General features: G+C 37.6%; 1 long non-coding RNA gene across 4 annotated transcripts in view; it reads left to right on the top strand.

Moving 5' to 3' along the window:
- Positions 1-27,834, top strand: part of LOC105372121 (uncharacterized) — a 175,442-nt gene that overhangs the window by 109,744 nt on the left and 37,864 nt on the right. Inside the window, exon 5 of one of the 4 annotated variants that reach the window (XR_935474.2) lies at positions 7,173-7,313. The exons of the other annotated variants lie outside the window; for them this stretch is intronic. This is a non-coding gene — a long non-coding RNA (uncharacterized LOC105372121). Of the gene's footprint in view, positions 1-7,172; positions 7,314-27,834 lie in introns of those variants that run through there. 4 annotated transcript variants of the gene reach the window in all.

The raw sequence follows: 27,834 nt of genomic DNA on the forward strand, positions 1-27,834 counted from the left end.
GTGGATCTTTCTCCTGTTGTTCTTGCTTATAATGACTCTGGCGCTTGCCTTTGCAGGTACCTTTAGCTCCGGGATTTCATCTGGCTTAGGAGCTTTCTCTTAGCTCTTGAAATGTCTGTAAAAGCCTCTGTAACTTACTTAATATGTTACTCAATCATATAATAAAAACATTATTTAATGTAATTATGTTCTTGACATTATGTCTGTCTTGGGAGTACAGCTTTGAACTTGATAAACTCCTGGTTCCCAGGGACATTAAAAATGTGAAAAAGCATCACTAGAAGTATCTAAGCTCTTCAGAACCTCTTGAGCCCAGTCTTAGTGTATGTGGAAAAAGATCCTTCCTATTCCTTAAATGCACTCCTTAAACTACTGTTCTCTTGAAAAAAATTGGGGAAATTTCTTGCTCTTTTATTCTACAGCAGGAATATTTTTTTCATTTATTTATTTATTTATTTATTTTCTAAGGGGAAAGTTCTTTTTTTTAATTATACTTTAAATTCTAGGGTACATGTGCACAACATGCAGGTTTGTTACATATGTATACGTGTGCCATGTTGGTGTGCTGCACCCGTTAACTTGTCATTTATATTAGGTATATCTCCTAATGCTATCCCTCTCCTCTCCCCTGACCCCACAACAGGACCCTGTGTGTGATGTTCCCCCCGCCCGTGTCCAAGTGTTCTCATTGTTCAGTTCCCACCTATGAGTGAGAACATGTGGTGTTTGGTTTTCTGTCCTTGTGATAGTTTGTTCAGAATGATGGTTCCCAGCTTCATCCATGTCCCTACAAAGGACATAAACTCATCCTTTTTCATGGCTGCATATCCATGGTGTATATGTGCCACATTTTCTTAATCCAGTCTATCACTGATGGATATTTGGATTGGTTCCAAGTCTTTGCTATTGTGAATAGTGCCTCAAGAAACATACGTGTGCATATGTCTTTATAGCAGCATGATTTATAATCCTTTGGGTATATGCCCAGTAATAGGATGGCTGGGTCAAATGGTATTTCTAGTTCTAGATCCTTGAGGAATCACCACACTGTCTTCCACAATGGTTGAACTAGTTTACAGTCCCACCAACAGTGTGAAAGTGTTCCTATTTCTCCACATCCTCTCCAGCACCTGTTGTTTCCTGACTTTTTAATGATCGCCATTCTAACTGGTATGAGATGGTATCTCATTATGGTTTTGATTTGCCTTTCTCTGATGGCCAGTTATGATGAGCATTTTTTCATGTGTCTGTTGTCTGCATAAATGTCTTCTTTTGAGAAGTGTCTGTTCATATCCTTTGCCCACTTTTTGATGGGGTTGTTTGATTTTTTTCTTGTAAATTTGTTTGAGTTCTTTGTAGATTCTGGATATTAGCCCTTTGTCAGATGGGTAGATTGTAAAAATTTTCTCCCATTCTGTAGGTCACCTGTTCACTCTGATGGTAGTTTCTTTTGCTGTGCAGAAGCTCTTTAGTTTAATTAGATCCCATTTGTCAATTTTGGCTTCTGTTGCCATTGCTTTTGGTATTTTAGTCATGAAGTCCTTGCCTGTGCCTATGTCCTGAATGGTATTGCCTAGGTTTTCTTCTAGGGTTCTTATGGTTTTAGATCTAACATTTAAGTCTTTAATCCATCTTGAATTAATTTTTGCATAAAGTGTAAGGAAGGGGTCCAGTTTCAGCTTTCTACATATGGCTAGCCAGTTTTCCCAGCACCATTTATTAAATAGGGAATCCTTTCCTGATTTCTTGTTTTTATCAGGTTTGTTAAAGATCAGATGGTTGTAGATTTGAGGTATTATTCCCAAGGGCTCTATTCTGTTCCATTATTCTATATCTCTGTTTTGGTACCCGTACCATGCTGTTTTGGTTACTGTAGCCTTGTAGTATAGTTTGAAGTCAGGTAGCGTGATGCCTCCAGCTTTGTTCTTTTGGCTTAGGATTGACATGGCAATTCAGGCTCTTTTTTGATTCCATATGAACTTTAAAGTAGTTTTTTCCAATTCTGTGAAGAAAGTCATTGGTAGCTTGATGGGGATGGCATTGAATCTATAAATTACCTTGGGCAGTATGGCCATTTTCACAATATTGATTCGTCCTATCCATGAGCATGGAATGTTCTTCCATTTGTTTGTGTCCTCTTTTATTTCATTGAGCAGTGGTTTGTGGTTCTCCTTGAACAGGTCCTTCACATCCCTTGTAGGTTGGATTCCTAGGTATTTTATTCTCTTTGAAGCAACTGTGAATGGAAGTTCACTCATGATTTGGCTGTTTGTCTATTATTGGCATATAGGAATGCTTGTTATTTTTGCACACTGATTTTGTATCCTACAGCAGGAACATTTTTTATAGAGACTCATGAAATAGCTATTTTTTAGAGATTGTGCAGCCAGCATAATTTGGAGACTTGGTTTGCATTTATTCTCTTCACAAATGATAAATTCAGGTGGCCCTAGAAGTGGCTAATTATAAAAACCAAAGAGAGGAAGCTGAGAAACAGAATTCTTTACATTCACCAGATAACATATGCTTACCTTGTTTCAATTTATGAGCATAACTTCTCCCTCTGTAGACTAACCTTGTCCAGGGATACTCTCTGGTGACCTTGTCCTGTCCTTGGTGTTTAGGTACCCCTGACAAATATTCTGTCAAAGTCAAGAGTGATACCTATAGTAAAGCCCTACTTCATAGCTGCAAATGAAATTAGAGCTACCCACAACTTTGAAGAACAAAGTTGGGAGCTTAACGCAGTATAATTGCTGATTGTCAATGCTGATTAGCCTATTGGCGAGTGAATGAGTCAGCATCTGTCATACACTGCTAGCCTACAGGTAAAAAGACTGTGAGTGCTGGCAGGAATGCTATGAATCTTATGTATCTGGGTGGAGTGGAAGTGACTCAGCCCAAATTAAGAAAGTAGCAGCCTGACACAGCTGCATTGCTTCAGCTAGCTGAATTCCTGAGCCAGCTCCAGGGTACTCAGTGTCAATTGACATTGGATGAACATCTTATTGAATCTCTCTCTCTTTCTCACTAGATTTATTAAAGCATAATGTACATGCCATTAAATTCACCTGTTTTAAGTGTACAGTTCAATGATTCTTAGGAAATTTACAGACTTTTACAACCATCAACTCAAACCAGGTTAGAATATTTTATTACCCCAATATATCTTATGTTTGTTTGCAGTCAGTACTCAATCCCATCCCCTAGCTCAGAGAGCCATTAATCTACTCTCTATAGGTTTGCCTTATCTGGACGTTTCATATAAATGGAATCACACATTATGTATTTTTTTGTGTTTGACTTCTTTCACTTAGCATAATGTTTTTGAGGTCCACCCATTATGTAGCATATATTAGCAGCTTTTTTCTTTTTATAAATGAATGGTATTCTATTGTATGGATTTATCACACTAGGTTTATCCATTTGTCCAGTGATAGACATTTACACTATTTCTACTTTTGGGCTATTAATGATAATGCTGTTGTTAATAGTTGCATACATATTTCTGGCCCTACATTGTCAAATTAGAGTCTTCATAGTTAAGATTACTTATGTGCTAGTCACATTTTTTAGCTTTTAATGTCTAGAATTCTTCCACATAAATGTATGTATTTGTGTATTATACATACACACATGAATCTACATAGATACTTGCACACCATATGTACTTACTGTGTGTCTTTACTCTGAAATCATGAGCCATCATTCCAGGGTACCTTACTTTGTTAATATCTATCTTTTCATTGCAGCTATTCTAGTGGATATAAAATGGCATCTCTATGCTTTGGGGTAGCAGGTCCCTGGTAACTAATGATATTAATGTGCTTATTAGCTATTTGTATATCTTCCTTGGAGAAATATCTACTAAAATTCATTGCCATTTCTTTTTAGCTCAGCAAAGCTAACACTGCCAAATTTCAATAGAACTACTTTTCTGTTTATAATTGAGTTATAAGAGTTAAATATTCTAGATGTAAGTCCCTTATCAAATATATGACTTGCAAGTATTTTCTTTCGTTCTGTGAGTTGTCTTTTCACTTTCTTGGTGGTATCCTTTTTATATTTTATTTTTCTGAGACAGGGTCTGGCTCTGTCAAACAGGCTGGAATACCATGGCACCATATCGGCTAAGTGCAACCTCTGCCTGCTGAGCACAAGAGATCCTCCCACCTTAACCTCCCAAGTAACTAGGCCAACTGGTGTGTGCCACTATGCCTGGCTAATTTTTGTATTTTTGGTAGAAATGAGATTTTGCCATGTTTCACAAGCTGGTCTTGAACTCCTGGACTCAAGCAGTCCTCCCACCTTAGGCTCCTGAAGTGTTGGGATTACAGGCATGAGCCACTGTGCCTGGCCTCTCAGTGGTATCCTTTGAAGCACAAAAATTTTTAATACTGATGAAGTCAAATTTATCTATCTTTTCTGTTGTTGTTTGTACTTCTGGTGTCATGTCTAGCAAACCATTGCCTAACCCTTGGTTGTAAATATTCACTCCTGTATTTTCTTCCAAGAATTTTATATTTATTGTTTATAGCTTTTCTATAGGGTCTGTGAACCTTGAATTTATTTTTTTTGTATGGCATGAGGTGGGGATTCAAATTTTTCAAATTTATGTTTTTGCGTATGGATATCCAGTTGTACTGGCAACATTATTGAACAGACTATTCTTTTCCCATTGAATTAACTTGGTACCCTTATTAAAAATCAGTGTACCATAAAAGGGTTTATTTCTGAAATATTAATAATATTTCATTGAGTCATATGCCTATCATTTTGGCAGTACCACATTGTCTTGATTACTGTAGCATTATATTAAGTTTTGAAATCAGAAAATGTGAGTTTTTCAATGTTTGTTTTTTTAAAGTTTGCTTTGGCTATTCTGGGTGGCCCTTACATTTTTATATGATATTTAAAAATCAACTTGTCAGTTTCTGCCAAAAACAAAATTCACCTCAGATAGGATTTTGGTAAGGATTGCATTGAATCTATAGATCAATTTGGGGAGTTTTGCCATCCTAACAATATTAAGTCCCTGATACATTAATGTGGATGCATTTCCATTTATTTAGGTCTTTGTAAATTAATTTCAGTGATTATTTTATAGTTTTCAGCGCATAAGTTGGCGCTTTGTTTGTTAAACTTATTTCTAAGTATTTTATTCTTTATGCTATTGTAAATAGAATTGTTTTCTTGTTTGTTTCTTTTTTGAGACAGAGTCTCCCTCTGTGACCCAGGCTGGAGTGCAGTGGTGTGATCTCGGCTCACTGCAACCTCCGCCTCCTGGGCTCGAGCAATTCTCCTGCCTCAGCCTCCCAAGTAGCTGGGACTACCAGCACGTGCCACCACACCTGGCTAATTTTTGTATTTTTAGTAGAGATGGGGTTTCACTATGTTGGCCAGCCTGGTCTCGAACTTCTGACCTCAAGTAATCGGCCTCTGAAAGTGCTGGGATTACAGGCATGAGCCACTATACCTGGCCAAGTTGTTTTCTTAATTATATTTTTAGATTGTTCATTGCTGGTGCATAGAAATACAATAAATTTTATATAGAAATACAGTTGATTTTTATATTGAAATTGTACCCTGCAATTTTGGGGTACAATGTTAGTGATTGAAATGAATACATAACCCTTTTAGCACTTTGAATATGTCATTCCATTGCCTCCTGGCCTCCATTGTTTCTGGGGAGAAGTTAGCTGTTAATTTTATTAAGAGTTTCCTTACATGTGATGACTAATTTTTTCTTACTGCTTACAAAATATTTTATTTGTCTTTGTCTTTCAGCATTTTTGCTATAATGTGTCTAGGTGTAAATATCATTGAATTTATTTTACGTGAAGTTTTTTAACTTCAAATTTGGAAAATTTTTTCTGTTGCTATATATATATAATGCTCTTTTCTCTCTCTTCTTTTTGGTTCTAACTTTACATATATGTTGATGTGCCTAATGATGTCCCACATTTCTCTGATGCTATGTTCACTTTTCCTCATTCTTTTTGTTTCTATCTGTTCTTCAGACTGCATAATCTCTATCAATCTATTTCCAAGTTCTCTGATTCTTTTTTCTGCCAGTTAAAATTTATTGTTGAGCCCATCTAGTTAATTTATTTCAATTATTGTACTCTTCAACTCCAGGATGTTCATTTTGTTTTCTTTTATAAATTCAATATCTTTATTGATAGTCTTTATTCAGTGAGACATTGTCAATTTACCTTCTTTTACTTATTGAAGCATGGTTTCCTCTAGTTCCTTGAAAATGTTTATTATAGGCGGGGTGCGGTGGCTCATGCCTGTAATCCCAGCACTTTGGGAAGCCGAGGCAGGTGGATCACTTGAGACCAGGAGTTTGAGACCAGCCTGGCCAACATGGCGAAACCCAGTTTCTAATCAAAACACAAAAATTAGCTGGGTGTGGTGGCACATGTCTGTAGTTCCAGCTACTTGGGAGGCTGAGGCACAAGAATTGCTTGAATCCAGGAGCTGGAGGTTGCAGTGAGTTGATAGCATGCCACTGCACTCCAGCCTGGTTTACAGAGTGAGACTCTGTCTCCAAAAAGGAAATATATATATTCATAGCTGCTGTGAAGTCTTCGTATGTTAAGTAAATAATCTGAATTCTCTTAAAGGCCATTTCTGTTGCCTGCTTTTAATCCTGTATGTGGATCACACATTCCCATTTCTACCAGAAATTGTAACTACATAGTTTTTTTTTCCTCCTATTCTTTTCCTCCTTCAAGGAAAAAAAACAAACAAACCCTTAACTTTGTGAACATCACTTTAGTAAAGGTATGTGACAGAACATAGAACAAAACGACCTAAAAGTCTGACTTATGTGTCCCAAAAGTTTTAATTTCTTTTTTTAATTTAGAGTATTTTGAATAAAATAGTTGGGAGCAGTGGAAGAAAGAAAGTGGTGTTCCATGACTACTCCCCATCATTGTAGAAAGAGAATCACATGGGTGGAAAGGAAAAAGAAAGTAATGGTAAGAGTGACTAAAGAAAGAGAAATTGAGAACCTTTGAGAATGTGAGATCTGGGACCTGATTGCAGAACAGGATGTTCATAAGGTGGGCTGAGGAAGAAGAACACTATCAGTGAGAGTCAAGAATGTGTTATCAGTGAAGGTGGACAGAGTCCTACACAATATACAAAGTTTTCTTTTCCCCAAGGTGGAGCAGAAGCTGCAGCTTTACACCTATGCTTCAGCCTGCGCTGGCCACAGCAGAGATGACAAGAGACTCGAAGGAGTTTTGTGGATAGGAACACGAACTATCTCAAGAGTGACCAGTGTATACTTATGGCTGAGGAATAAAAATGGAGAAACGTAGGTCTGAGTGTTCTTGCTTGTACAGATAACTCAAACACAGAGGCACCACAGTACCCTATCCCTATATGAGCCCCTAAAACTTAGAAGCAACCACAGCATTCCTAAAGTATAAGGACTCTGAATAAAAATTAAGTTATAACATAGAACAATAAAAGAAGAAAAAAAATTTGCACACACAGAGGAACAATCAAGAAAACGTGGCAAGGAAGGGTAATGACAGGGAAGAATTCTACCATAAATTAAAATGTGCTACAGCCCATATGTTAAAAACTGTGTAGTGTTGGTAGAAGACTAGACAGACATAACAATCGGACAAAAAGAAAAGTCCAAAAATTAGACCCAATCACATATGGAAATCAAGTACGCAATAAGGGCAATCTCTGACTTGATAGATAAAATTATAGATTTTGTAATAAGTGGTTTTGAGATAAGTGAATATATATATTAAATACATCAAGTTGGATCCATTTTTCACATTACACACTAGGATAAATTCCAAATGGATTAGGTATTTAAAGATAAAAGTATTAAACCATACAAGCAAAATGAGAAAACATGATGTAATGGCTGAATTCTTTTATATCTGGAGAAAGGCAAAATTCTTTTCTAATCATGAAAACAAAATACTCCATATGCATAATAACAAGAAAAATGACAAGATGGGACACAGTATTTGTAATAGAATGGACTGAAAGTTAACATCTTTAAAATATAAAGAACTATTAAAAATGAGAGAAATGTGCCAACAATTCAATTTTAAAAATGGACAAAAATAGGCCACAGATATGTCACTGAAAATGAAATGAAAATTCTCTCACATATGAAAATGTAATCAATCTCTCTCGTATTAATAAAAATATAAATTTAGGATACAATAATTAATTTGTTTTTCTAATGAGGAATGCTGCCTCAGTATCTCATCACATTTTCAACACTCTTCTCATATAGCTCTTAACACAATATGACTTAGTGTTCACCAAGGTAGAGATTTTAGGGAAGTTACTGCCCCCCACATACTCTCCACCATACCAAGAACAAGATTGTGTTTATTTGCTTTCACTCTAGTGCTCAGTATGATGTATTTACCTGATTTGTGCCTTTAACTGATTGAAACCCCTATGTGAATGCTTAGTGTAATGATAAATATACACCCAGAAAAACAGCACCATCCCTTCTGTTCTAACTTTCTAGTGAGATGCAGCATAGTGTAGTGGGCAAACTCACAGCTTTGGAGCCAGATTATTAAGTTTCACTTACTGGCTCTGCAATTTATAGCTGTGCGACGTTGGGCAAGATATTTATTCTCTCTGTATTTCTATTTCCTTTAAATGATGATGTAAATGAAAATAGCTTAGCTATAGGATTTTATGAAAACTAAATGATTTATTAACATAAAATTCTTACAATAGTGCCATCTGATAGGTTTAAGTGCTAGATAAATATTTTACATTGTTATTAGTCAGGAAAATAGCACTTACTTTCAATCCAAAGAGACTGGGGAAAGATCAGGAAGATAATTACAAATACATATATATTGGGTTTAGTGGAGGTTGATGTGGGGGCTCAATTTTTTTCCATTTTTAACTGCTTGCCTCCCATGATAAGTTGTGCCAACAATATTTGTTGCATATTGAGGTAGCCAATCTTATACTTTTCTTCTTATCTAATGTCTAGACAACACTGATTTTCCCACGATATTCTTACTTATCTCATGAGCTTGGAATGACCAGTGAACATCAAGCCAGAGGTTATCTTGAAAGACAGGCTTCCAGGCCTTCCGAAATTATGCGTCTTTGTAAATCAAAGAAATTATTGAAGAGATTATGTTAAGCTTGGCATTTGCCACCTTACTAGAGAACAATAGCTTCTGAACACCATATCTTGGCTGTATTTTAGGGGAAGATAGTGATCCTTATAGTCAACCAAGGAATGGCTGGAGGATGGGGCTTCAACTTGCCCAATCTTTCCATCTCTTCAAATATGTTAATAATGGTAATGATAATAACAATACCACTTGACATGAAAGACTAGTATTAATTTTACACAAAATGTGATTAGAGGTATACTTAGAAGTCTTTGTTATCTTTATTGATCTTTGATATAAAATATAAGCAAACTTAATCTGCTTCCAATGAAAACACAGTATTAAGATGAATCTCCTGCCCTCTTACTGTCTCTGAGCCCCTTCTAGACTTCTCTTTACTGCAGAAAATCTGGAGCTGCCTACTGGCTGGATCCATTGATGAATGAAAACTCTATAACAATTTGTAACAAGAGAAAGTTAAAAGTCTGTGGAAGCCCTCTAGGACCTGGAATCCATCTCTATTCGTATGTCTAATATTCCCACTGTATAAGTAACCTTTATTCCAGAATTATAAATATCCACTTGCCTTAAAGAAAAGGATTTAGTATCATTCATTTTATTTTTAATAAATCCTAAAAGAAAACAGGAAGCAGCACAGTTTGGAGGAAATGAAATAGTATTGAGATTTAGATCCATCTCTGAACAACTGGGCTGTGAATGGGTAGAGTTCCCTTAAAATATTTTATTACCTTAGCAAATAGGGCAATCTGAATAGAAATTCAAGGCTGTAGATTGCAAAAGCAGGACTAACACCACATGTCGTGGAGGGAAGTCAGGCTGGACCAGGTATAGGGAACTGGCTAATCATAAAAGCCAATTTGGGCTGGGCACGGTGGCTCACGCCTATAATTCCAGCACTTTGGGAGGCCAAGGTGGGCAGATCACAAGGTCAAGAGATCGAGACCATCCTGGCCAACGTGGTGAAACCCTGCCTCTACTAACAATACAAAAACTAGCCGGGCATGGTGGCACATGCCTGTAGTCCCAGATACTCAGGAGGCTGAGGCAGGAGAATCAATTGAACCCAGGAGGTGGAGGTTGCAGTGAGCCAAGATCATGCCACTGCAGTCCAGCCTGGGGGACAGAGCAAGACTCTGTCTCAAAAATAAATAAATAAATAAATAAATAAATAAATAAATAAATAAATAAATATAAATAAAAAATAAAAGAAAAGAAAAAGCCAATTTGGTGAAAAGAAACTCTTGTCCTTAGGAAATAGGACTCTGGGCAAGAATATGCAGACTGATGATCGAGTGAGGAAGCCAGTGACTGGAGAAATGGGAACCAACATTAGAGTGACACTGGCAATATGGAGACGAGATTGAATCAGCCCTTTGTCACAAGGTGTCTGATTGAGAAAAGTTGACTCATTATCCATCGGGTAAACAACCAAAATGCTCTTTGCATTTCCCTTTCTAGGGACAAAATGAGACCCAGGGCCTGGAATAGGAGGAATAGATTAAGTGAAGCTTGTTTCTCAGTTTAGAGGTGTTAGAAGGAGGGGAATCTATGCAGCCTTTACAGAGTCATTTCCCTAAACACCTGTATTCCTCCCAGAGCTGCTGTGAGAAGCAGTCCTGTGGAATGGAAAGTACCTGGCTCTGGAATGAGACACACCTGGGTCTGCATCTTGGTTCCACCCTCTCTGCTTGTCCCATAGCATCCATTTTCCTTCACCACTCAGTCACAGCATCATGGTCTAGGCAGTGCTGGTAATACAACTACTGCAGAGGATTACATTGGAAAATCTACGTGGAAAGTCTGGCACAACATAGGTTCTCAAAAATTAATAGCATTTATTTTGAACTCATTTGAAGGAAGTTTGATAATCTTTTAAAAATTTTTGCTTCCCTTTTCCTTCAAGCAATTCAATAAGGTAAAATATGCCTTCATAATTTGATAATCAATGATTTAACAAAATGTAAAATGAATATATGCATTTATGTAATAATTTAGCCTTTAAGACTTTTCCCCCAGAGATATGAGAAGATGTATGTACAAAAGTATTCACTTCATCATTGTTTGTAACTGAAGAAAACTAGAACCAACCTAAATGTTAGGGTTAAATAAATTATGATATACTCATGAAATGAAACATCTCAGTCTCTAAAATGAACAGAATAGGTCTTTATGAGATGATTTTAAAATACAGCCAAGATATATGTATGATTCCATTTGTATAAAAAGAGCATATATGTATGTTTGTATGTGTAACTATTTTATGGAATGCAAAATACATTTTATTTTAACTGCATTTAAATTTTAAATGTATTTAACATTTAGAGAATAGTATAAATATGTCAAAAGTTAGAAAGTGAGAAAATTTAATTTAAATACTTTGGTATTTGAATTATAACCTTGAACATTCATTACTTCTGTGATTTTAAAATAATGGTTAAAAATGGCCACCTGGCTTTTTTTAATCCACAGATTTTTTAAATGAAGAGAAACTTGTGTTGGCTTGAGACATTAATGCAATAATAGTTTTTTTTTTTTTTTACTGAATATTTCACTTATTTCTTTCTTTACATAACTGAAATATTTAAGGTGCACAAAAAAAGGGTGGGAAAAATAAAATAAAATCCATGTACAACCTCAGGCCTAAAATTTGTCATCTTAACATTTGCCATCTTGATTACAAACTCTTTTATTTATTTATAAATAAACAGAAAAACAAAGAAATAAAATGATATTACTATATTAGAGGCTCTACTTTTACCTTCTCCCCTTGCTATTTCCATTTCTCTTCTGGAATCGCTATCCTGAAGTGGTTTACTTCTTTCTCATGCATGTGTTTTTGCTGTTTGATCTTTACGACAACACTTTAGCACAGGTATTATTATCATACTCGAATATCCTATTTTCTTATATGTGATTATATGTAATATGTATGTATTTCCTTATCTATAATGTATATGTATATATAAACTCTTCATATGTGTGTGCACATATAAGGATATTGAAGCTTAGAAAGGTATAGTAATTGATACTACTCATGTAACTAGCAAATGATGAAGCTTAAATGCAAACCCAGGGCAATCCGGCTAAGGCTTCAAGTGTATTTCACTTAAAGTGATTACTTTTTAAATTGTGGGGAGATTTACTTTATTCACATCTTACTGTTATGAGTTAAATTGCATCCCTCAAAAGGGTGTTCCTGAGTCTTTACACCCAGTACCTATGAATATGATCTTACTTGGAAATGGAGTCTTCGTAGATAAAATCAAATTAAGATGAGCTCATGCTTGATTAGGATCAGCCCTAACGATGACTGGTGTCCTTCTAAGAAAAGGAGAACAGACAGAGATAGACTAAGAGGGAAGAATGCCATGTGAAGATAGAGGCAGTGATTGGAGTGACGCAGGCACAAGGAAGAGATGCCGAGGCTTGCCAGCGAACTCCAGACGCTAAAGGAAAGGCATGGAACAGTTTCTTCCCCAGATCCTTCAGAGAGAACATGGCCCTGCCAACACCTGAATGTCGTATTTGTTTTAACACATACAATTTGTGGTACTTTGTTATCATAGCCCTGGGTAACCAATCAATTGGTTTTGTTGTCACTCATTTAACAAATGTGTGTGGAGCAATTTAGGAAAATGGTTAAGTATATGCATTCTTGAACCAAATATCTTATGTGTAGATCCTAAGTCTTAGGGCAAGTTATTAACCTCTCTCTGCTTCAGCTTCCTCATTTTAAAATTACGCTAATAATAGAACTTTCTTCATAGAATTTTTATGAGAATGGCATGAGTTAATATGTGTAAAGCATTTAGAACATGAACGTAGTATCATTAACATGTTGATGATATACCAAGCACATACTAGGTGCTAAGGTCATCTTAATTAACATAAGCTAATCTCTTATTAATAAAGAATCCATTTATTAAACAATTATATATAATGATGCGCAAGATGATTGTAAATTGTTTTGGTTCAATTCTCTGCTCCAAATTTAAAGTGATAGATTAAATACCAATAGAAGGAAAAAACTCAAAAGATATAGCTAGATTGGAAAACAATATAAATATTTCTAATGCAAATAATGAATGAGGCTTAAACGAATATGAAATGGCATCTGCAAGTTTTGCTCCTGAAGACAAAGAGATCTAAATGACAATATTTAAAATGAAAATGACTTTATGGGCCGGGCGCGGTGGCTCACGCCTGTAATCCCAGCACTTTGGGAGGCTGAGGCGGGCGAATCATGAGGTCAGGAGATCGAGACCATCCTGGCCAACATGGTGAAACTCCGTCTCTACTAAAAATACAAAAATTAACTGGGCGTGGTGGTGCATGCATGTAATCCCAGCTACTTGGGAAGCTGAGACAGGAGAATCGCTTGAATCCGGGAGGCAGAGGTTGCAATGAGCTGAAACCATGCCACTGCACTCCAGCCTGGCGACATAGCGAGACTCTGTCTCAAAAAAAAAGAAAAGAAAAGAAAAGAAAATTACTTTATGACATATCAAGAGCTCTAATGAAACTGAAGAAAAACTTAGAAGATTTATAGCCTTATTTTTACTAAAACAAATGTAAAAGATCGAAGATAAATAAGTAAAATCATTTATCTTACGTTTCTTCAAAATAAACAAGATTTAAACAAGATGTGGTACAAAAGAAGTTGTACTAACAAATAAACCCCAAAACACAATGGCTTGAGTAAGATAAGTGCTTATTTTTTATCAAATCATAGTGATCTGGGTCAGGTAAGGCAGCTCTGCCATCTTCGCATTTGCTTTTATCTCTCAGTTCACAATGGCTGGCTGCCCCAATTCTTGTCAATGCCTGATTAGCAAGAGTGAAGAACAGATCATGATTGACACATGCACCTTACTTTTATATATATGATCGAATAGTACTCTTCATTATTTCTGCTCTGATGAACTGACCAGAACATAGTCACAAGACCTTACCAAGACTCAGGATTTTCTATTATTTGAAAAGGGAAGAATCAATGTTAAGGATGACTTGTAGTCTTTGTTTGTAACAGAAAAAATTGAAAGGAATGAAATAATAAAAATAAAAGAATATTTTAGTGATATATAAAACAAGGAGACTATAGAGATTATCAACAAAACAAAAAGATGGATGCTAAAAATAGATAAACTTAGCAAGAGTGATAAAAAGAGAAAAATACACAAAATATTAGAAAATAGACACACATCTAAAAATCAGTGTCGTGTTTTTGAAATCCTAATAGAATTCTATTAGCAGTATTATGCAAGTACATTAACAAAATTTAAATAAAATTGAATATTTTCTTTTCTTTCTTTCTTTTTTTTTTTTTTTTTTTGAGACAGGGTCTCACTCTGTTGCCAGGCAACAGTGTCGCGATCAAGGCTCAATGCAGTCTTGAACTGCAGGACTCAAGTGATTGTCCCTCTTCAATTTCCTGAGTAGCTGGGACCACAGGCACATGCCACCACGTGGGGCTAGTTTTTAAAAACTTTTTGTAGAGACAGGGGTCTCCCTATGTTGCCTGGGCTGGTCTTGAAATCCTGGGCTCAAGCGATCTTTCCACCTCAGCCTCAGAAAGTGCTGGGGTTACAGGCGTGAGCCACCATGCCCACTGAATGTTTTCTAGTATATATTTAACAGATCTTAACCAAAGAAGAACATCAAAAAAACTAAATACACCAACAGCAATTAAAGACATTGAATTAACAATTAAATGATTTTTCTGAAAGACACTAGTCTAGTTTAGACACTTTTATAAACTCATTTGCCAATCATTTTTTTAAAATTTCAGAATACAAGAATTTCTTAGAATAGCGTCAATAATAAAATTTTCCAGCACAACTCAATCAACATATCACATGCAATTTTATTTGAGCAGAGATGCAAAATTCTAACTAAAATACAAACAACTTAAATTAAATAGTGCGTAAATTTCACCTAGTTGCCAAGGAAAGAATATGCCAGTATGCCAGGAATGTCAGGATGTTCAACATTAGAAAATGTGTAACATAATATAAGCAATAATAGCTATCTTGAGCAAATCTAACGAGCATCTTTATAAATGAAGATATGACAAAATTCTTACACATAGATCTTTATTAATGTTGTATATCTACTTAAATGTGACTGAAAACATTGTGCCTAATGGCTAATTTTTTTTTTTTTTTTTTTTGAGATGGAGTCTCTGTCATTCAGGCTGGAGTGCAGTGGCATGATCTCGGCTCACTGCAACCTCCGCCTCCTGGGTTCAAGCGACTCTCCTACCTAAGCCTCCCAAGTCGCTGGGATTACAGGCGCTTGCCACTATGCCCAGCTAATTTTTGTATTTTTAGTAGAGAAGGGGTTTCACCATGTTGCCCAGGCTGGTCTCGAGCTCCTGACCTCGTGATCCGCCTGCCTTGGCCTCCCAAAGTGCTGGAATTACAGGCATGAGCCACTGCGCCCAGCCCTTAATGGCTAAACTTTGTAATCTTTTCCATAAAGGATTTACACATCTTTTATTAGCTTTGTTACCTTGTCATGTTTATTGCTTATTCTGTATGGAATCTTATATTTCTTTGCACTCTCTAATTGTTTTATAGTGTGTATATATATATATATATATATATATATATATATATATATACATACATAAAAACTCTATTGATATTTTTATGTAGTTTTTCTTTAGTTTTCTTTTTTTTTTTTTTTTTTTTTTTAGAAATGGAGTCTTGCTATTAGATTGGTACAAAAGCAATGGCAAAACTGCAATTACTTTTGCACCAACCTAACATGTCACCCAGGTTGGAGAGCACTGGCTATTTACAGGCACAATCTTAGCACACTGTAGCCTAGAATCCCGGCCTTAAGTGATGCTCCCACCTAAGCCTCCTGAGTAGCGAGGACCACAGGTGCATGCCACCATGACAGGCGTACAGGTAAGCCTACTAGATTTTTATGGAGACAAACAAAGAGACATTAGCTCATTTTATAATTATTATACCTTTTATTTATTTTCCTTCTCTTATTGCATCAACTGGATTTTTAAGTGAGAACAAGGGTGCTCACTATCCTCACTTCTACTCAACAATGTACAATGTAGCAATTCACGTAAAGCACACTTTGAATGACCAATGATCTAATAAAAGAATACTCCATTACACTAATAATCAGGGTAATTCAAATTAAAACCATAAAGAGGTGCATTTAACTTCCACCAATTTGATGATAATTGAAAAATCTAACAATTCCAAGTGATGATAAAGATATAGAGAAATCACAAATTGCTGACAGAGATATAAATTTGCACAGTCACAATTCTCAAAGTGTGGTCCCTGGACCATCAGAACCTGAGCACTTGTTAGAAATGCACATTCTCTGGCTCCATCCTAGACCTACTAAATCAGAAACTCTGGGCACAGAGCTAGCAATCTGTGATCCAAAGAATACTTAAGTCTGATAACTCTGACTTAAAGGAACACACTGATAAGCTATTTGACATTATCTGGCAAAGATGAAGTTATAACAGTTTTACTTCTAAGTATAAACCCTGGAGAAACTCATATGCATCTATTAACAGAAACATGAAACAAAAAATTCATGGCAGTATTATTTGTAGTAATATAAAGTTAGAAATTTGCAGCCGGGCGCGGTGGCTCACACCTGTAATCCCAGCACTTTGGGAGGCCGAGGTGGGCAGATCACCTGAGGTCTGGAGTTGTTTGAGACCAGCCTGGCCAAGACAGTGAAACCCTATCTCTACTAAAAATACAAAAATTAGCCGGGCGTGGTGTCAGGTGCGTGTAATCCCAGCTATGAGGGAGGCTGAGGCAGGAGAATCGCTTGAACCTAGGAGGCAGATGTTGAAGTGAGCCAAGATCTCAACATTGCACTCCATCCTGGGCGACAAGAGCGAGACTTCATCTCAAAAAATTAATAAATAAAATCAGAAATTTGTTGTAAATGTCCTTCAATAGGAGAATTGAAGAATATTTCTAATAAAACATACCTCATTCTTCACCCCACAAAATCATTCTTATTTGTTATTTCAAAAACAGACTTTGAAACATTTTAATTTACTTAGGAACCCAAATAAAACTCATGAAAGAACTTTGGAATCACTCAAATTAATAATCTGAGACAAATTTACTGAGAGAAATATGTCCATGGAGAGCCAGCAATAATTTTGTAAGTGATATCCTAAGGAAAGTCAATTATCATTAAACATTCTCAGCATGAATATAACTAGAAAGTTTTACTTAAAAGGACAAGGACATCCTAACCTATTTTACTGTTTGAAACTTAGTTTTAAAAAATTAAGAGTTTTATGTTTGTAGTATCCAATAGAAGGACAGTATCTATCTGGCTTAATTCATAGAGATATTAACCATCCTTAGAAAACTGTTTGGGGCAAATGATGACTCACTTTGTGTAGTTGTTGGACAGGTCTGAACAGATTTCAGACCATCCATTATTAACACTCACTAATAGAGGCCAAACTATTCCCACCTTCACATCATCTGATCTTAAGCAATGTGTGTCCTGCCATCAGTCACAGTCGGAGGTAGACAGGGCAAGATGAACATCATCTGTTCTCCCTGCCATTTTCATCCATCACTGCCTTGGGGAATCCCATGGAGCCTAAGGAGGAGCTGTAAGTGGTGTAGAAAATGAACCCAGAATGAGAACTTAGGAAATAGGTGTGTTGCCCCAACTATGTTATAAAAATAATAGAATTTTAGAATGTTAGCGTTAAAGGGACCTCATAGATCATCTTGTCCCATGCCATCATTTTAAAGATGAGATTCAGAGTGAGAAAGTGACTTGCCCAACACCATTCTCACACCATCAATTATTTATTGAGAAATAGATGGAATAGAGTGAGAGGTGTACTCAAATACCAATCCGAGGCCCAGAATCTTAGACACTCCACAGCGCAGTGTGACTGTGTCTGGGGCCAGTTAACAATCTCTCCCAGTCCACTCAGTTTTCTCAGTCCACTCAGATACTGTGTGTCCCTCCCTGCCCTTGTGATTATAGTGGGAGCAGAACAAACGTGTAGGAATTTCTCCACTTTTCTCTGCTTTGCTTTTGGTCATACCTTCTGTCACTTTGTCTTTTTTCCTCTGTTTTATTAATTTCATGTCTTAGAGAACTCTTGTCATTGTCTCCTTTTTAGAAGATCATAGGAAGCTAATTATAAATGTCACCCTGTCCTATAAAATGTTAGACAAACCTAAGAGGTAACTGGGAGTTTGTTTACCCACTGTTTCATGAACTGTTGGTACAACAGTTGGTACAACTGTTGCTCCACTAAGCCAATGTACCAAAATTGTGTGTGCATGTGTGCGTGCATGTGTGCGTGCATGTGTGCGTGCATGTGTGTGTATGTGTATTGAAGGTGGACAAATTAGAGGCAGGCAAGGCAAGGGAAAATACATGAAGCACCCAGGCAAAGGCAGTTTGAAAAACAACCTAACAAGTAGACAACAGAGAGGCTAGAGATGGAAGACAAACTTCCAATTTTGTAATTGGAACAAAAGTCAATTCTGACTAAACTGTTCTTATAGAGATAAAAAAAACATAGTACATAGATATGGATGTTCCAGGCTACCTCTTTTATCCAACCCCAACTCCATTTAACATCTTCATGTATGATCCAGGAACAATTCGCAGGCATCCTTCCTATGTCTTGATAGAATATTGTGGTTCTTGGAAATATAGCTGATGCAAGCCGTTACATATGCTATGTACACAAATCACTTATCATTAATAGACGTGAGCTTCCAGTGAGCCTCTTCCATCTGATTCAATTACTACATGGCCTCGCCACAGGTCTGCACTTCTCAAACTGGGATACCACCTTTGGTGCTGAGCTGGAACATCAAAGTCACAGAATAAGTATTCATGGAGTGTTAATTTCATTTGAAAATTTAGGAAAGGGATATATTAAGTTATTTAACAATTTAAATTATTTGCTTATAAAATGGACACATTCTAGTGTAGAATGCAAAACCTATCTACTTTTGGGAAATGCAACTCCTGATCACAACATTGCTGACTGACACAAATGTGGTGGTCGAGGGGCAGGAGTTCCTTTCAAAGCCCCCATGTTGGCCTGAGTCATGATAGCAACTGTCCGCTCAGCACCAGCGAGGAGCAGACTCCATCCAAAAGTGAGATGGCATCCCTAGCATGATTGTTGTTGTCATAATTATTTCTTACTAAAATTAGTCACATCTACTGAAATTTGCGGAGCCATGAGAAAAGTACACAGAATTCTCTTTAATCACGGTGCTCATAATTTCCCTTTCCATTTTACATTGAAATGTTTTACAAGAGTTCTGGGCTTATTTTGCTTACATAGTACACATGCCAACACGTACACACACACACACACACACACACACAACTGCAGAGAGAAACATTTCGATTATTAAATATGTAAACCTCACATAAGAAAACACTTCATGCATTTTTCTCATTTTCGTATTTTAAAACTTTTAGGCCCTAGCTTATTTTACCTTGCTTTTTTACAATCATAATGACTTTTAAGATGAAAATTTCTGAATTCATGTTAAAGCTCACAACTTCTGGGAAGAGTGCATATCTAGACATAGCCCAGTAAGTTTTTGATCAGTCCCATACAGTATTTATTTATTTATTTATTTATTTATTTATTTATTTATTATTTATTTTGGAAAGGGAGTCTTGCTCTGTTGCTCAGGCTGGAGTGCAACGGTGTGATCTTGGCTCAATGCAACCTCCTCCTCCTGGATTTAAGCGATTCTCCTGCCTCAGCCTTCTGAGTAGCTGGAATTACAGGTGCCTGCCACCATGCCTGGGCAATTTTTTTTGTATTTTTGGTGGAGATGGGGTTTCACCATGTTGGCCTGGCTGGTCTCGAACTCCTGACCTCAGGCGATCCACCTGCCTTGGCCTCTCAAAGTGCTGGGATTACAGGTGTGAGCCACTGCACCAGGCCCCATACAATATTTTAAAAACAATTTTTAGCCTGGGCGCAGTGACTCGCACCTGTAATCCCAGCATTTTGGGAGGCCGAGTCGGGTGGATCAGTTGAAGTCAGGAGTTTGATACCAGCCTGGGCAACATAGTGAAACCTCATCTCTACAAAAAAATAACAAAAATTAGACAGGGATGGTGGCATGCACCTGTAATCCCAGCTACTCTGGAGGCTGAGGCAGGAGAATGGCTTGAACCTGGGAGATGGATGTTGCAGTGAACCGAAATGGCATCACTGCACTCTAGCCTGGGCAACAGGGTGAGAACTTATCTCAAAAAAAAAAAAAATTTAAAATATATAATTCTGTATCCATTCATCTTGATAAATTCTAAAATCTTTTTATTCTTCCGTTCTCACTTCCTGAAAACTTTCCCACATCTCTATTCACATTGCACTTTTAATTCATTTTATGAGGTTTGAGTATTAATATATCCAAGTAGACACATATCACTGTCCCTCTCAAAAAGAAGGGCAAGTGTAATATGCTAATAGAGTGAGTATCCATCGTCCAAGTAACTGCAGTACTGTCTACTCAAAAATTTCACCCATACCTTGTCCGTTCCTTCCAAATAGTAGTTAAGGCTTTTTACTCAGTAAATGATCACAATCCACATAATATGAATTTAAGAACATACACTATTGGAAAACACTGTGCTTCAAATCTGGACAAATATAACATTAATTAATTAATCCATTCAATAGACATTTGAACAGATACCATTGTATACAGGACACAGTGTTTAGTGATAAAAGATAGTTCCTGCTCATAGAGTTTTCCATCCTTTGCAGGAGATAGATGAATGATGTCCATGAATTTCATAGCATCACAACAGAGGAAAGTATAAGGTTCCTGTAGGAAAAGGCACATGATACTGGGCTATAGATCAGTCCACCAGGAAGCAGACTCTGAGATGGATATTTGCCTGCAGAATATTTATATGGAATTGCCTCAGGATAAACACCAAAGGGATGTAGAGGGTCAAGGATTCCAAAGAGTGAGAGGTTGAATTTTGAAGCAGTCAGAACTCAGGACTCACCTGATGTTCCATTCCAGGGAGCTCTGCAGCCAGAGGCACCCTCCATAGTTGCCCACCTTGGGGGCAAGGGTGCAGGGCCTTAATTTCCTCACCTCACTACATCCCAGGCATTGAATGAGAGTTGTCCTCTGGAGGGAGTGTGACCCTGAGGAAAGGAGATATGGCTTTCTTGGGCTGAAGTCAAATCCCATGGAGGAACTCAACTGAGAGATGTCAGTCACCAATTGCAGCTCTGAAGCAATGGGCGCCTCAGTCCTGAAAGGGGACCTGGGCTGTCCACCATGGGATCCACTACCCCCTGTATCTGTCAGCTGCTCTCCATACAGGTACTTACCCTACCCCATCTCACCCAAACTAGTGGTAAGGATTACAGAAGCCACCATGGGTCTATTATGCAAACACATGCAGCCTGAGAGAGAACAGCCATTTCCATAGCTATTTCCACCTATGGTCTTCAAGGGTTGATGTGTGCATTAAATTCAGAAGCAAGGAAACACAGGAAAAAGCCTTTTCACAGACCACCAAATAAGCTTATTTTCCAAAATTACCATTTCCTTTTACTTCCTTTCTGCCTCTGCTCCCCGACTCAAATTATTTCCATTTCATAGTACCATCATTTATACTTAATGATTGAGATATTTGGGTGAGAAAAGTCTTTCCTCTCTTTATGTATGTATTAACCTGTGTAATATAATGGTCATAAAATTGATCCTGATAGAATTTATAATACAGTTTTTTTAGAGATAAAAATTTCCCAGCCAAACAGTCTTATTGTCTTGGTTTTTAGAAAAAGCTTTTTCATCAGTTTTCTTCCAGGAAAAAGAAAGGAATAAAATGTACATTAAAATGCCTAAAAAATATTTCCTTTGTGTAGAATCTTAGGGTTTCTAAGTTAAAAGAAACTGAGAATATGTTCTTTTTTTTAAATTTATAAAGTTCAAAAACTTAAAATTTAAAGAAGCATGAAAGTTTACTTGGGTATGTATTCAGTTGTAACTCAACTACCTGCTGCTAAATGCTGGTATAAATGCTTTCTTCATATAACTCTTTTCACTTTTACTTAACCTCACCCTCAACTCCAAGATGAATCCTTTACCTTTTCCTTACCTACCTTAGAGGACTGGGGCAGCAAGAGGAGGGATAAAATTGGAGATCTGTGACAAAGCTAATGCAAATGATAAAATAATAAGAAAAATAAAATAAAATAAGATAAAATAATAAGAAAAATAAAAGAAGAGCAGAGATAAAAAATGATAATGTACCATTAACTAAGAAGCAGAGACAATTAACTTACGTGCAGCTAAAATCCAGAAGGAGAAAGGAAGGGGAAGTGGGGAAAAAGAAAAAAAAGAATGAGCCCTATGATAATAACACAAAGAAAGGAAAGTCACTGCATTTGTTTGAATTTGGTGTTACGGTGTCAAGCAGGTACAGAAACTGATCACTTAGAAAGGCAACAGAAAAGACTAAATTTGGGAGGAAAAACACATGAAAATTCAAAAAGGTGTTGAAAGTAATTTATTGCATGGGGTCTTGACTTACTTTTATGCAGGTTTCTTAATTTTCACTCAGAATTGTCATTTTTTTTTAATTTTTAAATAATCTTTATGAACTGAAAACCATTGTGTTTTATTTCTAATTTCTAGAGAGAAATAATTAATGTTACTACCAGAATTCTCTTATTTATTGTTCTTTGAGGCCCAAGCAGAGGCAAAACCCCTTAAGGGCCTGCAACAGCTAGTAATTACTGTGAAAGAAAAAAAGCAAGAACAAAAATTTAAAAACTTAGGGTCTGTGATGTTGAGTTTCTAGTATGTCAACTGAGCTAAGGTTGAACTATGTCTCCTCCTGCTCAAGAGGTGGAGAGGAGGTGAAGCCTGGTTCTTTCTGTGTTCTGAAGCTTGTGCAGAGCCTGTGGTGCCATAACAGCACTCCCATTTCGTTGCTTATCTCCTGGCCCACCCTTGGTGGTACAGCAGTAGGACTGCAGCTCCTGCAGCTCACACTCTATCTCCTCCTCCAGCTCACACTCTATCTCCTCCCCCAGCTTTCCTGATTCTGCGCCAGATAAGTGATCCACACACCCAGGCCATCCAAGTTGGAGGCTTAGAGAAGTAAGCAACCGAGGCAAGTTCCAGTTGGTCCTCATGGCTCACCTTCACAGGATCCAGTTTATCTTTGCTTTCTGCATTTTCATTTCGTCTTCCCTCCCCAAGTGTGTGCTCTGTGGATGTTAGTCTCCAGCACCAGTTGCAGAAACTAAAGCATCACACAGAATGTATAACCAACTTTCACAACTGATTAAGGTCAGATTGCTAAAATCTTCCTTTCTTCCTTCCTTCCTTCCTTCCTTCCTTCCTTCCTTCCTTCCTTCCTTCCTTCCTTTTTACCTTCCTTCCTTCCATTTTCCTTTCTTCCTCCCATTCTATCTTCTATTTACTAAAATTTCTGCTGGTCTAACTGAGTCCTAACCGATAAAGAATTTGGAAGTGGAAGTGGTTATAGAGGAAAGCTGATAACAAGAAGCTCTGAGAAAAATATATGTGGATAAACTAGGTAGGTAGAAGGTGTGCATATACTTGCTTTCAAAGTGATAGCTCACCAAAGAGCAAGGAGGATCTTTATAATCAAGTAGGTAAGATGACTTATCCTGGCTGGGTGCAGTGGCTCATGCTTGTAATCCCAGCACTTTGGGAGGCCGAGGCGGGCGGATCAACTGAGGTTGGGAGTTCCCGACCAGCCTGACCAACAGGGAGAAACCCTGTCTCTACTAAAAATACAAAATTAGCCGGGCCTGGTGGTGCATGCCTGTAATCCCAGCTACTCAGGAGGCTGAGGCAGGAGAATCGCTTGAACCCAGGAGGCGGAGGTTGTGGTGAGCTGAGATCGCGCCATCGCACTCCAGCCTGGGCAACAAGAGCAAAACTCTGTCTCAAAAAAAAAAAAAAAAAAAAGACTCATCCTATGAATATCAGTCAGTCTATTTGCCTAGTTACCTCATTCATTCCTTGGGCTCATGACAAAAATGGCAGCGGCAGTAGGGATAGAGGTTATGCATGGGCTCAGCAGCATGGAATTTCACTCACCAAGGCCAATCTGGCTGCATTCTTTAAGTGTCCAATCTGCCAATAGCAAATACTGACACAAAATAACTGTTACGGTGGCCTTCTCTGGGTGGATTAACCAGCCACCTGGTGATGAATTGATTATGGAGGACTACTTCCATCATGGAAGCGGCAGCATTTTGTTCTCATTGACATAGACCCTCTGGATATGAATTTTCCCTGTCTGTACATACTGCTTCTTCTAAAACCAACATCTCTGGACTTATGGAATGCTTTATTTGCTGTGATGTCATTTTATACAGCATTGCTTCTGATCAATGAACTCTTAAAAGCCAATGAAGTCTGACAATGTACCATGCTCACATAATTCGCTGGTCTTACCATGTGGCTCATCACTCTGAAGCAGCTGGCCTTGTAGAATGTTGGAATTGGGGTGATTTGTTTCTTTTTTTCTTTTTTTTTCTTTGACAGAGTCTTGCTCTGTCACCCAGGCTGTAGTGCAGTGGTGCGATCTTGGTTCACTGCAACCACCACCTCCTAGGTTCAAGCCATTCTCCTGCCTCAGCCTCCCGAATAGCTGGGACTATAGATGCATGCCGCCAGGCCCGGCTAATTTTTTGTATTTTTAGTAGAGACGGGGTTTCACCGTGTTAGCCAGGATGGTCTTGATCCCTGACCTCGTGATCTGCCAGCCTCGGCCTCCCAGAATGCTGGGATTACGGGTGTGAGCCACCACACCTGGCCGGGATGGTTTTGGTCTCAATAACAGTGCAAGCTGGGATAGCAATATTTAGAAAGCCAGGAAATGCTATGTAGAGTATGTTACATGTTCTAAATCCGTGACCAATGTATAGTGCTATTTCTACCATAGACGAGATGGTTATGGCAATTGGTTCGTCTCACTATAATTCCCCTAGTGATAGATTAGCAAACTTTTTGTTTTTTTTTTCCCTGCAGCCTTTGGCTCTGCTGGTCTAGAAAATAGTTCTCAAGTGAAGAATTCTTTGTACCAAGACAAAACAGTGGTTCATTTAAATAATGAAACTGGAAGTTGAAACTGTCCTCTAGACACTAGGCTCTTTGTACTAGTAATTAATAAGCAAAGAGGAGGGTTACCTGTACTGGATGAGATAATTGATTCTGATTATCAAGGTGAAATTGGATGGCTACTTCACCTTGAGGGTAAGCAGAACTGTAAAATACAAATGGTTTCCCTGAGGGGTGACTTTTACAATTCCCCTGCCCTATGATTAAAGCTAATGGAAAACTAAACAACACAATACAGTCACCAAGATTGCTAATGGTGCAGACTCTTCAGAACGGTTTGGGTCACTTCCCCGCATGAGGTACCACAGCCAAATAAGATGTTTGTTTTAGGGAACGTGAATAAAAAATGAGTAGTGGAAGAACATGGAAAAACATACAAGATATGACTATGGGATCAATTTCGTATGACTATGGAATCAATTTCTTTTTATTATTTCTTTATTTTTAACTTTTATTGATGAATTGGAACAGAGTCTCACTCTGTCATCTAGGCTGGAGTGCAGTGGCATGATCTCAGCTTACTGCAACCTTCGTTTCCTGAGTTCAAGCAATTCTCCTGCCTCAGCCTCCCGAGCAGTTGGGATTACAGGTGCCTACCACCATGCCCAGCTAATTTTGTATTTATTTTTTATTTTTTGTATTTTTAGTAGAGATGGGGTTTCACCACGTTGGCCAGGCTGGTCTCGAACTCCTGACCTCAGGTGATCTGCCCACTTTGGCCTCCCAAAATGCTGGGATTACAGGCATGAGTTACCATGCCTGGCTTTATTTGGAAGCAATGACCAATTTCAGAAACATGAGCAGTTTCTGTGAAATTGGGTCAGGCTTGATTTTCCTTGGATGGGCTTGTTCATGCATCTGTGGTCAGCTGGAACATAAGACTCTGCTCCATGTGGTCATTCATCCTCTAGATGGCTAGTTCACCTTGTTCTCTTGGCAGTACCAAGATTCCAGGTTGAGTAAGAGAGGGACTGGAAAAATGTAGGGCTACATTATGACTTCAGTCAGCACAAATTCAGAGCAGGTAGGGGATTACCTAGTTTCAAGACAAATTATGTGGATACCGGGATTCCCTTCATTGTATCTGTTAATGCAACTAGTCTACCACCAAACCCTCATGCTTTATAGAGTACCCTAGGATACTGACAAAAGGGTAGCCCTAGCAGAAATTCTGAATGTTTTTAAGTCTTAATTCTTAAACCCCAAACTTCATCTACTTAGAACCTGCATCATTTTTCTTCCACTTTATTATTAGGGAGTCAATTTTTTTCAGTGTCACCTGTGCCTTTCAAATTTTCATGCACATTGTACACTTTATGATACCTGATACTTGGCTGCGTTTTCCTGATGGTTCCTGATGATGACAAGAGGAAGTTTAGAAAGTTTGGGGATACCCCATAACCTACATTAGTCTCCCCAAAGGCATTCCCCCTCCCCAATAAACATATTATCTAAATAAATTTTGTAAGGATTCTAAGCAAATTTAGCTTCAAAGACAAATCCTATTTTTTCCCCATTTATCCAATTTGAATTGTGTGAACTTGCCAACTTTCAATCTTTTCTCACTTAGAAAAATGGCAATTTCATATAGTTCAACCTATAGATTATGAAAAAGTTTTGTTTTTTCCCTTTCAGCACAGTGTCCTGAAGATGTCTTCTGGCATTTACCACTACCTAAGACCTCCTATCTTTACATATTTCTTTCAGAGGCAGGTCCCCTCCTGCCTGGCTTAGTGGGCCACCTCTGACATTAGAAGGTTGAAACATTTCTATTAAATGAAGGATCAAATGTAGGCAAGAGAAAGCTAGTAAGCAAAGAAAGCACTAAAGTCTCATTCTTTCTCCTGTGAAAATGTCAGTGCCTCCTGGAGGTCTACTTTAATTTTATTTTTTTTTTTTATTGGTGTTTGAACTATACGGAGATAATAATAGTGTGATATTAAAGGCAATTTAACATGAAAATCTGCCCATTGAGTAGTTTCTCTGTGTTGGTTAGCACCTTATGAACATCTTCCTTAATTTTTAAAATAGCACTTATTATGATTTGCCTAGCATTTTGGAAGTGGAATAGGTGAGTGGGGATATGTGTGGAGGTATTATAAATTCCAGGAATGAGGTGGACATAGTAGGAATGGGAAGTTTTACTTTTCCTTTTTGCCTCTCTCTCTCTTAGTTGAAAGAGGCTTAGATCTGAGATGTTATACTTCTATTGATGTGTAAAAACCAGTATATATTTTTAGTTCATCAGTATAAAAATAGTCATTGAATCATAATGTATTCGAGCTGTGGAAGAATCTTAATGGTCTACCAGGTTGACTACCCAGGTTTACTGGAGTCTCCTTTCAACATCTTTCTGAGGTGTGTACTCATTTAGCTGCTCTTTGATTCTTCTCATGGGTGTTTCCACAACTCGAAGCAGCCCATTCTATTTGGGGCATATCTGATAATTAGTAGAATTCCTAAATGAGCCAAAATCTGCTTCTCTGAAACTTTCATCCATTGATCTCATTTTTTTTTTTTAATTAGAAGAC

The sequence above is a fragment of the Homo sapiens genome, chromosome 18, assembly GCF_000001405.40.
Source record: "Homo sapiens chromosome 18, GRCh38.p14 Primary Assembly".
Classification (NCBI taxonomy): Eukaryota; Metazoa; Chordata; class Mammalia; order Primates; family Hominidae; genus Homo; species Homo sapiens.